The sequence below is a fragment of the Homo sapiens genome, chromosome 16 (assembly GCF_000001405.40).
Source record: "Homo sapiens chromosome 16, GRCh38.p14 Primary Assembly".
NCBI classification, from domain to species: domain Eukaryota; kingdom Metazoa; phylum Chordata; class Mammalia; order Primates; family Hominidae; genus Homo; species Homo sapiens.
The window spans coordinates 66,789,554-66,802,378 of record NC_000016.10 but is presented as its reverse complement, the minus strand read 5'-3'; the positions used below and the strand labels follow the sequence as shown (position 1 = coordinate 66,802,378).

At 41.4% G+C, this 12,825-nt stretch overlaps 1 protein-coding gene across 18 annotated transcripts in view; it reads left to right on the top strand.

Annotated features, from left to right (window-relative positions):
• Positions 1 to 353: 353 nt before the first annotated feature.
• Positions 354 to 12,825, top strand: part of TERB1 (telomere repeat binding bouquet formation protein 1) — a 47,386-nt gene continuing 34,914 nt past the window's right edge. For 9 of the 18 annotated variants that reach the window (XR_007064867.1, XR_007064868.1, XM_047433956.1 and 6 more), the window contains exons 1-5: positions 795 to 911; positions 1,326 to 1,402; positions 5,549 to 5,611; positions 11,360 to 11,470; positions 11,656 to 11,784. Coding sequence is in view for 16 of the 18 variants with exons in the window: in XM_047433956.1 (XP_047289912.1) it covers positions 5,581 to 5,611; positions 11,360 to 11,470; positions 11,656 to 11,784 (271 nt within the window). In the remaining 2 variants the exon portion in view is untranslated. Of the gene's footprint in view, positions 912 to 971; positions 1,163 to 1,325; positions 1,403 to 2,231; positions 2,332 to 5,548; positions 5,612 to 10,537; positions 10,642 to 11,359; positions 11,471 to 11,655; positions 11,785 to 12,825 lie in introns of those variants that run through there. The other 9 variants (XM_047433947.1, XM_047433948.1, XM_011523005.3 and 6 more) reach the window with 9 other exon arrangements.

Genomic DNA, 12,825 nt, shown 5'->3' with positions numbered 1-12,825 from the left:
CCAGAAGTGGGGGCAGTTCCCGGTTTTGGGCTTGATGTATTAATACTTAGGGCTGAGGAACGTGGTCCGTGGTGCATGACTCTTAGTAGCTAAGGCCCCTAATCTGCTGCAACTGTCTCTGAGGCCAGCGTCTCTTAAGTGAGAACCTGTTAGATTTGCTAGGGTACCTCACAGGGACTTGGTTTTCCAGACGCTAATGTGTCAGCCATTCTTTGGCTGTTCTTCACTGTATCGGGGACCTTCCCCTCGCCTTCATCGCCTAGCAGTCCCATGGGCTGCATTTTACGGCAGAGGCGGCAAGGGACAGGCCTTGGCCCCACTCTGATCCTTTGGTCCAGGCGCGGAGAAGTCCTCCTGGACTGAACTCCGGAAGCCCCCTGGTGAGGTGGAGGCCTGGCTGCCCCTGTGGGGCTGTGGTGACGATTAGCGAGGTGCCCAACAAAAGGGAGAACACACAGCACAGATGCCAGGTGGAGGGGAGGTTGGGGCTTCGCCGTCCTGTGCTTCGCGGCCACCGTCCCATAGCCAGGCCTCGTCAACCGCGTGCACAGTCCCCTAATTTTGGGGCTAATGCTCGTCTGAGGTAAAAACCCTAAAAACCGGGGGCGGTGAGATTTCTCTTTCAAATTGTAGCTTTTTAAAAAATCTTGCGGCCGGGACACCGACCACCCCATTGCCCTTGGCAACCTAGGGCACCCGCGGAAGCGTAAGACACCTTGCAGGGGCGGCGGGGCTGCCGGCCGGAAGTCCCGCCCACGGACGTGAGCCTGGTCGGCTGGGCGGGAAACCCTGTCGTGCGTCGTGGCAGGTGAGCGGTGATGAAGAAAGGGCGGAAGCTCCCGCTTGAGGGTAGACGCCACGGCCTCCGCTCCCGCGCGTTGTTGTCCTGCCTTACCGCGCTTGGAAACTCTGTATGTTGGCGCCTGTGTAAGGCGGGTTGGGCCGGCCAGGATGTCTTACCGCCCCGTCAGGCCCTTAGCCCACGTGAGAAGGGTCGAGTTGGGGGGACGGGGCCTTTATGAGCAGGTGCCAGGCCCCGGCTGTAGTCCCCACAGCCCTTGGCGGGAAGAGACAGTCATCACGTGATGCACCATTTAGAGACGTGTAAAGCCTGGCAGTATTCCCCCCTATTTCACTTCTGACTCCCCAGGCGCCTCCCCAGGTGACTTTGATGTGTGGAGAGGGTGGGACCCACCGGTGAGGTCGTTTCCCAGGGCCAGGGCCGGGCCGCATGTCACACAGCACCTGAGCGGGGAGGGCCTGCTGAGGGTGCTGATGGCTCACGAGTGGCCCGCGCGGCTAACCAGTGTCCTGCTCCCACGCAGGACTTGCGAGCCCTGGTCAGAGAGGAGCCTGGAGGGGCCACCTAAGCTCTGCACAAGGAATTCATCCAACTCTGTAGGTGAGCGGGCCGCAGGCTGAATGGGCAGGAAGCCGGGCGGGGTGAGCGCCCCCGCCTTGGAAAGGTTACGTGTCTGTTACCTGTGGAACCTGGGAGGAGGCCCTGAGGATTTATGCTCTGGGCTGGAGTGGGGGGGTGTTCATATTGCAGAGCCAGCTGACTTCTGGTACCCACAGTGCGTTTTCTGGGACCTGAATGACTGTTATTTCTTGACCGTTTAAACGATCGAAAACAAATTTGCCCCTTCTCTCTTCTTGCGTCTTCTTTAGAGGGTATTTTCGCTATATATAATTACAAGCTGGATATCCGCTGACAAAAAACAATTTAGTGGTGGGATTATCAGCCCTGCCAGCCTTACACAAAAAGATGCCATTTATCTTTCTGATATACTGGGATAATATTTCGATTTCAAAAAGCTTTCTTGGCCTTGGTGTGGTGGGCGCCTGTAATCCCAGCTACTGGGGAGGCTGAGGCAGGAGAGTCGCTTGAACCCGGGAGGCGGAGGTTGCAGTGAGCCAAGATGGCGCCACTGCACTCCAGCCTGGGCGACAGAGCCAGACTGTCTCAAAAAAAAAAAAAAAAAACTTTCTTTATTTTTATTTATTTATTTTGAGACAGGGTCTCCCTCCATCATCCAGGTTGGCGTGCAGTGGCGCGGTCTTGGCTCACTGCAACCTCCATCTCCTGGGCTCAAGGGATCTTCCCACCTCAGCCTCCCAAGTAACTGGGATTACAGGTGCGTGACCACGCCCAGCTAATTTTTGTACTTTTCTTTGGTAGAGACGGGGTTTCACCATGTTGGCCAGGCTGGTCTCCAACTCCTGGCCTGAAGTCTTCCGCCCACCTCGGCCTCCCAAAGTGCTGGGATTACAGGCGCGAGCTACCACGCCCGGCCCCCCAAAAGCTTTTGTATACATTTTCTAAATCAGGTAAACAAGTAATATTCAGCTACTTTTCTTGCTGAAATTTGAATTTGAGTTAACACTACTGTTTTGGGGAGTGGGTTGAGTGAAACGTGTAAGTGGGAGAGGTTCTCTCTGTCATCCAGAAAAAAATCCTTTTTTCCTGTGAGAATACAGTAAAGAATTTTGAAATCTCCTTGTTTGTGGCAGTACATATATTCACTAAATTACTAAAAGCACTTCATAATCTGCTTTATATGGCAGATGCTTTTGTTCTTGAGAATATACTTGTTTTATAATTTTAAATATAATTTTCTGATTATCAATCCCTTGAAAGTTATAACTTATCCTTTGCTATGGGTGTTTGTAAGCACTTCTCAAGTAAATAGATGACTTGTGTTAATGCTACCAAGTACTTGGCAAACTCTTTTTGTGCAAAGTAACCATTTATAAGAAAAAAGTATAAAAACAAAGGGAGAAAAGAGTGTGGGTGACCAGTTTTAATTTTAAAGCATTTAGGTTTAAAAGTTATACATTACCCCTCTTAGGCCAGGCACGGTGGCTCACACCTGTAACCCCAGCAATTTCGGAGGCCGAGGCGGGTGGATCACCTGAGATCAGGAGTTCGAGACCAGCGTGGCCAACATCGTGAAAGCCTGTCTCTACTAAAAATACAAAAATTAGCCAGGCATGGTGGTGCGTGCCTGTAATTCCAGCCACTCAGGAGGCGGAGACAGGAGAATTGCTTGAACCCGGGAGGTGGAGGTTACAGTGAGCTGAGATCACACCACTGCACTCCAGCCTGGGCAACAGAGTGAGACTCCATCCAAAGAAAAAAGAAAAAGTTATACATTACACCTCTTAAAAATTACATTAAAAGCAGAATAGATTGGATAATTAAAATTAAGGAAATAGTCCTTAAGGTTGTCCATGAAACAAAAACATCCATATATGATAACAATTTTCCATTTTCTAAAGAGTTCATCTTTTTAAATCTAGTAATATTTTCCAAATCTTAACCCATTTGTTCAAAAGCAATATGTATTTATATATGGGAGACAGTATAAGAGAGGATAAGAGTGTAGGCCCTAGCCTGAAATTTTCTTGGCTCCCATTTTAACTCTAGCACTTACTAGCACTTTGAAGTTAGTCAAATTATTTGCCCTCTCCTCATGTATCTTCGTCCTTATAATTCCCTCATAAGGTTATTGTGAAGACTAAAAAGAATATTCATAAGGTGTAAAGAACAAAGTCTAGCCTCAATAGGTATTTACTGAATGTTAGAAGCTGTTATTATAAAAATTGTGAAAAATAGAAAATAGTGGGATAAAACCCATAGAACCACCAACTAAAGACAAGTGTTAATATGTCGTCTTTCTAGCCAGTCTTATTTTATGTTTACCTCTATCTACTTTGGATCATACTATAGATTAAATTGAGTCTTATACTCTTTTTGGTTAACTTTGTAACATAGCATTTTTCTTTGCTATTGAACATTTCTAGTAAATGTGAATATTCTTGTAATAATATCCAATCCTGTGGACTTATAACATACCTACTTCTATTGTAATGTAATATTTAGGTTAAAAAATGGGCCAGGCATGGTGACTCATGCCTCTAATCTCAGCCCTTTGGGAGGCCAAGACGGGAGGATCACTTGAAGCCAGGAATTCAAGACCAGTCTGGGCAACATAGCAAAATCCCTGTCTCTACAAAAATATTAAAAAATTAGCCCAGTGTGGTGATGTGTGCCTGTAGACTCAGCTACTCGGAATGCTGAGGCAGGAGGATCACTTGAGCCCAGGAGTTTGAAGCTGCAGTGAGCCAAGATCATGCCACTGCACTACAGCCTGGGTGACAGATTGAGACCCTATCTCTTAAAAAAAAAAAAAGGCAAAAATAATATACTTGTACATTTGTATACTACTTTATAAAAGATTTTTACATTTGTTATTTCTTTAAACATTTCTTTGTGCTTAGGTATTTTCTTTTTTTTTTTTTCTTTTTGAGACAAGGCCTTGCTCTATAAATGGATAATTGGATATCTCTCTTTAACAACATAGTGTTGGAATAAATAAGAATTTTAGAGTTTTGTGAATCCTGATTTGTTGCTCTAAGAAGTTAACTGGACTCTGAGGCATTTTTTCTAACTAATCAGTTTAGCATTTTAAAGTAGGGTATGTGAGAGGCCATATCAGAGTTGCCAGTTATTTTAAAAATGGTTCTAGGCTGGGCATGGTGGCTCAAGTGTGTAATCCCAGCACTTTGAGAGGCTGAGGTGGGTGGATTGCTTGAGCTCAGGAGACCAGTCTGGACATCATAGTGAGATCCCATCTCACTATACCATGTTGAAAATAACCATGGGTTGTTAATTTAGTATTTAGCTTGTGAAGAGAAAGGCCAATCTAAAGAGTGTGTGTGTGTGTGTGTGTGTGTGTGTGTGTGTGTGTGGTGTGTTTTTAAACCTCTCTTAGGTAGAGGGGTCCCTAATCTGAAACTATGAGATGAAGATTTCCATGAAGAAAATAAGAAAATGGGGGCTGGGTGTGGGAGCTCACACCTGTAATCTCAGCACTTTGGGAGGCTGAGGTGTGTGGATTGCTTGAGACCGGGAGTTTGTGACCAGCCTGGGCAATATGGCGAAACCCCGTCTCTACAAAAAATACAAAAAATTAGCCAAGTATGGTGGCATGTGCCTGTAGTTTCAGCTACTCTGGAAGCTGAGGTGGGAGGATCACCTTATCCTGGGAGGTCAAGGCTGCAGGGAGTCGTGATCAAGCCACTGCGCTCCAGCCTGGGTGTCAGAGTGAGACCCTGCTGTCCAAAAAAAAAAAAAAAAAGGAAGGAAATGGGACCAGCTAAGAGGTCCAGTTAGATCCAGTCACCCAATCATTCATTTGCTTAATAAAATTTGTTGAATGCATATAGTGCTTAGAAATGCCAGATATGTTTATGTTTTTCAATGTAATTATGGTAACATCTCTGTGAAATAGGAATATCATTTCTATTTTACAGATGAGGATACAGAGCCTCAAAGAATTTAATCAACCTGCTTGATATCACGCATCTAATAAGTTGCAGATTCAACTTATTAACTAAGTTAATTAAGTTTAATTATTATTTTAAAAGTTGTAGTTCCTCGGTCTTTTGGCTTCAGGAAAACAATTTTTCCCGCCCATTTGTACTTATATCTTTGCCATTCTCAAACATTGATTTAAATTGAGAAAATACCTTTATCTTATAGACAAAATATAAGGAAAAAGAATATAGACAAGCATGGAAAGTGAAGACACAAAGAAAACACAAGGTGAGAAATTGATGGATCATATATCTGCAATGAGTTTTGTATTGGTAGGATGTACTGTAGATTATCTGACAGGATCCAGGAAATGAAAGAATCATTCAGCCATTTACATAACTATTGAGCACTACTCTGTGCCTGTCACATAATTTCTGGCTTCAGGAAACTGACATTCTAATGGGAAAAGACATACTGACAATTAGAATATCATGTGATAGTTGATTTAATGTCAGTGTATACAAGAATAATGGGAACCTGAGAGGACTACCATCAAAGGATGCCTGCAGGTACAGATTTCAGAATTGTTCCCAGAAAGATGGAAACTGAATCCATGGGCATGGAGGAGGTTAACCAGAGAGAAAAGTGTTCAATAATATACACCATCACATAAGGTTTTAGCTGAGGAAGACAGCCCTTAAAAAAAGTCTGAGAAAAACATTTCAAAAAGGTGAAAAGAGAGGAATGTGGTATCTTGGAAATCAGAACCTTACGAGAATGCTTCATGAGAAAGAGGTTGCTTAAGAGCCTAAAATGTCAAATGCCACAGCTGAGGACTGAATTTTCCACTGCGTTTTGCATTTAGGATGTAATTTGTTATGTTAATGGTAAACTTAATAGATTTTAGCCCGATTGCAGTCTGTTTAGATTTGAGTGGAAAATTAAGATCTGAAGACACACAGTATGAATTGCTTACTCTTTAAGAGCTTGACTAAAGATATATGATCAGCCGGGTGTGGTGGCTCACTCCTATCATTCCAGCACTTTGGGAGGCCAAAGTGGGGGATCACTTGAGCCCAGGAGTTTGAGTCTAAACTGGGCAACACATTGAGACCTCGTCTCTACAAAAACAATTAAAAATTAACTGGGCGTGGTGGTACACACCTGTAGTACCAGCTACTTGGGAGGCTGAGGTGGGAGGATCACTTGAGCCTGGGAGGTCAAGGCTACAGTGAACCACTGCACTTAAGCGTTGATGACAGAGCGAGACCCTGTCATTCATTCATAAATAAATAAATAGTAAGATATATGGCAGTAGCTAGAGGAAAGTTGTAATGTCAAGAAAGTGTTATAAAAGACAGAATTTCTGAAGAGGGAATGGAGATTGTGGAGAGGGAGAAGTTGAAAACTGGAGAGATAGGGGATAACTGTTGGTGATTCCCCTCTCAAACCATTTACGAAACCTCCAACCTCAGTCCCACACCTCACTCTCTTCCATTTTAAGTCTTTAGATTGCTCCCAGAAGTAGACTGTGAGATAAGGATTTGAGTGCAAGTACCTTTTTTCAGAAAGTGATCCCAGGAAACACTAGCTGGAAAGTGGGAAAATGAGATAGGAAAAAGAAGACAGAGAGTATGTTATCAAATAAGTAGTTATTATGGGTAACTGGAGCTTAAGCCCACTGGGAAACTGGGAGCCAGTTTAGAGTCATGTCCCTGAGAGTCATCCCAGCCAAAGGGTGAAGAGTATTTATCCATCAGCTCCCATCAGTCAATTGTTTAGCAACAGGGTGAAGTGGTATCTAATTGTGGTTTTGATTTGCATTTGCCTAATGACCAGTGATGTTGAGCATCTTTTCATATACTTATTGGCAATCTGTCATCTTTGGACAGATGTCTATTTAAATCCATTCCACACTTTAGATTGTGATTTTAGAATTGCACTTTAAGAATTCTTTATGTGTTCTGAACACAAGCCCCCTATTTATTTGGATAACTGATTTGCAGATATTTTCTGCTAGACTGGGCTGTTGTTCTGCATTCTTGATAGTGTCTTTTGAGGTATAAAGGTTTAAAATGTTAAGTCCAATTTATCAAATTTTATTTGATTGTGTGTGTGTGTGTGTGTGTGTGTTTTTTTTTTTTTTGAGACGGAGTCTCACTCTGTCGCCCAGGCTGGAGTGCAGTGGCCGGATCTTGGCTCACTGCAAGCTCGGCCTCCCAGGTTCACGCCATTCTCCTGCTTCAGCCTCCCAAGTAGCTGGGACTGCAGGCGCCCACCACCACGCCCAGCTAATTTTTTGTATTTTTAGTAGAGACGGGGTTTCACCATGTTAGCCAGGATGGTCTCCATCTCCTGACCTTGTGATCCACCCACCTCGGCCTCCCAAAGTGCTGGGATTACAGGCGTGAGCCACTGTGCCCAGCCTGATTGTGTTTTTTGTATTCACTTCAGTGTTTGCTGGTTTATTTTATTCAGGAGGTATTGAAGGAACTAGGTTACTTTGCCTAGAGAAGATAAAAACCAAGGTGAAACATGATAGTTGTTATGTCAGGAGATGCTTTGGCTGGGAAGGGAAGGATTATGATAGGAGATACCAAAGTATGAGAAAGGCATACAGAAGGGAATGGAGGAATACGTAAAGAAGTTTCTTGCAGACCAGGCTTGGTGGCTCACACTTATAATCCCAGCACTTTGGGAGGCCGAGGTGGGAGGATGGCTTGAGCTCAGGAGTTTGAAACCAGCCTGGGCAACATGGCAAAATCCCGTTTATACAAAAAATATAAAAATTAGCCAGGCGTGGTGGCATGTGCGTGTATTCCCGGCTACTTGGGAGGCTGAGGTGGGAGGATCCCTTGAGCCCAGGAGGTTGAGGCTACAGTGCCCTGTGATTGCACCACTGCACTCCAGCCTGGGCAATATAGTGAGACCCTGTCTCAAAAGAAAAGAAAAGAAAAGAGAAGAAAAGTCTCTTGTATCCTGCCTGCATTGTGCCTAGAACTGAAAATCATTATGCTCCATCAAAAATTTTCTTTGGCACGTTGATGTGGCTTATTGGTATCCATAGTCAAACTTACCTTCTTATAGTGTCTGTTAGTGTACAAAATGATAGATAAATATTTGCTGTTGCTAAAAGCATCTTAGTGATAACCTTTGTACTATGGTTTTTCACTAACAAATTTTGTCATGAATTATTTCATTGAAACAAATTGACAGTTGAATTTCTTTCAACAGTGAGACTATGGCCGGGCGTGGTGGCTCAGGTCTGTAATCCCAACACTTTGGGAGCCCAAGGCAGATGGATTGCCTGAGCTCAGGAGTTCGAAACCACCCTGGGCAATATGGTGAAACCCTGTCTCTACTAAAATAAAAAAAATTTAGCTGGGCGTGGTGGTGCACACCTGTAATCCCAGCTCCTTGGGAGGCTGAGGTGGGAGAATTGCTTGAGCCCGGGAGGCAGAGGTTGCAGTGAGCCAAGATTGTGCCACTGCGCTCCAGCTTGGGTGACAGAGTGAGACTCCATTTCAAAAAAAAACCAGTCCGGGTGCAGTGGCTCATGCTTGTAATCCCAGCATTTTGGGAGGCCGAAGCAGGTGGATCACCTGAGGTCAGGAGTTTGAGACCAGCCTGGCCAACATGGTGAAATCCCATCTCTCGTAAAAATACAGAAAATTAGCCGGGCATGGCGGTGGGCACTTGTAATCCCAGCTATTCGGGAGGCTGAGGCAGGAGAATCACTTGAACCTAGGAGGCAGAGGTTGCAGTGAGTGAGATAGCACCACTGCGCTCCTGCCTGGGTGAGAAAGCGAGACTCCATCTCAAAAAAAAAAAAAAAAAAAAAAAACCAAACCACAAAACAAAGAGTGAGACTAAGTACTGTATTGATTGATGATACATCTTAATTTCTCTTAGTATGCTCCTCTATATTATATCCACCCTTCATCCTATATCTTTCAGAACTCTAAATTTTTTTTGTTTTGTTTTTTTGAGACAGAGTCTTGCTCTTATTGTCCAGGTTGGAGTGCAAAATAAAATAAAATAAAATTTTATAAAATAAAATAAAATTTTAAAAATAAATTGAGTAGTATAAAGTCTACAGTAGTGTACAATAATGTCTTAGGCCTTCACATTCATTCACCACTCACTCGCTGATGCACCCATATCAGCTTCTGGATATATCTTCTAAAAAAAAATCTGTATTATAGCTTTTCTATGTTTAGATGTGTTTAGATATACAAAAATTTGCCATTGTATTACAATTGACTATATTATTCAATACAGTAACATGCTGTGTAGGTTTATAGCCTAGGAGCAATAGCTGTCCATACAACCTAGATGTGTAATAAACTCTACCATCTAGGTTTGTGTAAGTAAAGTCTATGATGTTGATACAATGATAAAATCAACTAATGATGCTTTTCTCAGAATGTATCCCCATCATTAAGCAACACTTGGCTGTACAATCTATTTTTATGTATTAAAGAGTTATCTGGAAAACTTAGTTCACTGATTCTAGTAGCTTTCTGTAGATTCCATCCAGTTATATAGAAGATCATGTTGTATGCAAATTCAAATACTTCCTTGCCAATTTGGGTGCCTTTTATTTCTTTTTTCTTACCTGACGGCACTGGCTAGACTCTTCGGGACAATGTTATATAGGAGTGGTGATACGAACAAACATCTCTGTCTTATACCTGGTTTTAGAGAGAAGATATTCAGTCTCTCCCTGTTAAGTATGATGTTTGCTGTAGGGTTTTCAACTGTAAATGCACTTTGCCAGGTTGAGGAAGTTCCTTTCTATTCCAAATTTGCGGAATATTTTTCTTTAATCAGGGATGCACGTTGGATTTTATCAGATGCTGTTTTTACATCTATTGAGATGACCAAAAGGTTTTCCTGTTTAAGTTTTGTTACATTGATTTTTTTTAAATCATAAATCAACCTTGTATTTCTGGGATAAACCCACTTAGTCGTGATGTATTTTTATTTTAATATATTGTTGGATTCAATTTGCTAAAATTGTTTAGACTTTTTGCATGTATGTTCATGAGGGAAACTGGTCTGTAGTTTTGTTGCTAATGGCTTCCGTTTTGGTATAAAGGTAATACCAGCCTCATAGAATAAGTTGGGAAGTATTCCTTCTCTTAAACTTTTGAAAAAAATTGAGTAGAATTTATATTATTCCCTCCTTAAATGTTTGGTAGAATTTACAGATGAAACCATCTGAACCTAGAGTTTTCTTTGAGGAAAAGTTTTTAACTCTTAATTCAACTTCTTTCATAGATATAGGACTATTCAAGTTGTCTTTTTCTTCTTGGGTGAGTTTTGGTGATGTCATTTCACCTAAGTTGTTCAATCTGTAGGTATGAAATTGTATGTAGTACTCCCTTAATATCTTCCGAATATCTGTGGAATGTGGTAATGCCATCTCTCTCATTTCTGATATTGGTAATTTGTGTCTTTACTCCTTTTTTCCTAATTCATCTGGCTAGAAGTTTATCAGTTTTGTTGCTCTTCTCAAAGAACTTCCTCTGTATTTGTTTTCTGTTTCACTGGTTTCAGCTTAGATCTTTATAATTTCCTTTATTGTACCTATATTGGGTTTAATTTGTTCTTTTTCTAATTTCCTAGGTGGGAGCCGATGTCATTGATCTGAGACCTTTCATCTTAAATACTGTTTTTGTAGCATCCCACAAATTCTCATATGTTGTTATTTTCATTTTTATCCACTTTTTTTTTCTAAATGACAGATATTTAAACCAGTGTGGCTTTACTTAAAGAGAATAATATTTGGACTTTCTATTCCTATATTTATAAAAAGGGAAACTCAAAGAACTATAAGATGTTCATTTTAAGTTATTTTATTTAAAGAACATTTTTAAAAAAAATACATGGTTGTTGGATTATAAAAGTAATACCTGCCTATTACTTTAAAAGTTGACCATTCCAAAGATATGTATTTAGTAAGTGAAATTTGAATGGTTAGTTTATGAAATAAACCTTTTGGTTTAAAATAATGACATTTTTGTTCTTTAGAAATGAAGACTGACCTGAACTTATTATTGGAGTGTCTAAAGTATCAAATGGACAATGCTTTTTCACAAAAGGAAGCTTTGGTCACTATTCATTCAATTTGTCAACAAAACAGTAAGATATAATAGTGAATTTTTATCTGTGATTCTAGTTCTTTAGTACTCTGATATATCAAATAAGCATAGTTCTTTATCTTCCATTCAGTTATTCTACATATCATGTTACGTCTTCATGTGATTTATTTTATCCCTGAAAATAAATATCATTTCTATTTTGTTTTTTTTCTGCACATCCTACAGGTAATGCAAGTGTTTATTTTCGGGAAATTGGTGGTTTGATGTTTGTAAAAAATCTTGCAAAGTCAAGTGAACATAGCATGGTAAAAGAAGCAGCCTTATATACATTAGGAGCTATTGCAGAGAAAAATGGTAAAATATAAAACTTTATTTCATTATACTTTAAGCATTGTGTTATATTTTAACAGTATACTCAAAACTAATTTTATAGTTAATTTCCTTTCCTTTTTTTTACATGTTTGAATAATTTTATCTAGCCTCCTTCCCCCCTCCCTTCCTTTCTCTCTTTCTCTCTCTTTCCTTCCTTTCCTTTCCTTTCGTTTCCTTTCCTTTCCGTTCCTTTCCTTGCCTTTCCTTTCTTCTTTCTCTCTCTCTCTCTTTCTTTCTTTTCTCTTCCCTTCCCCTCCCTCCTTTCCCTTCTCCTCCCCTCCTCTCCCCTTTCTCCTTTGCCCCCCTCCCCTTTTTCCTTCCCTTCCCTTTTTCCTTCCCTTCCCTTTTCCCTGTCTTTTCCTTTCTCTTTCATCTTCTTTCCAGATCAAAGGATGAAGATAACCCACAACCATGTCATGTGTGGGTAAATATGCTTTGGGTATAGAAATTCACATTGGCAAGAACACTTTTCTGCAGTGTGTCTAAAATGAGGATGAATATAAACCATTGTTTTGTCAGACCAACTTTATATTCTTATATTTTTATTTATTAAATATTTCTTCATCAGCCAGGCGTGGTGGCTCACGCCTATAATCCCAGCACTTTGGGAGGCTGAGGCAGGTGGATCACTTGACCTCAGGAGTTTGAGACCAGCCTGGACAACATGGTGATACCCCATCTCTACCAAAAATACAAATAATCAGCCAGGCATGGTAGTGTGCACCTGTGGTCCCAGCTACTTGGGAGGCCGAGGTGGGAGATTGCTTGAGCCTGGGAGGTGGAGGTGGCAGTGGGCCGAGATTATGCCACTGCACTCTAACCTGGGTGACAGACCACAGAGTAAGACCCTGTCTCAAAAAAAAAAAAAAAAAATCACCTTTTAGGAACCAATCTTTGTGCAAGGCATTGGGGATACAGGGATAAGTAAGATATAGTCCCTGAATTTTTTTTTTTTTTTTTTTTTTTTTTTTTTTTTTTTTTTTTTTTTTTTTTGAGACGGAGTCTCGCTCTGTCGCCCAGGCT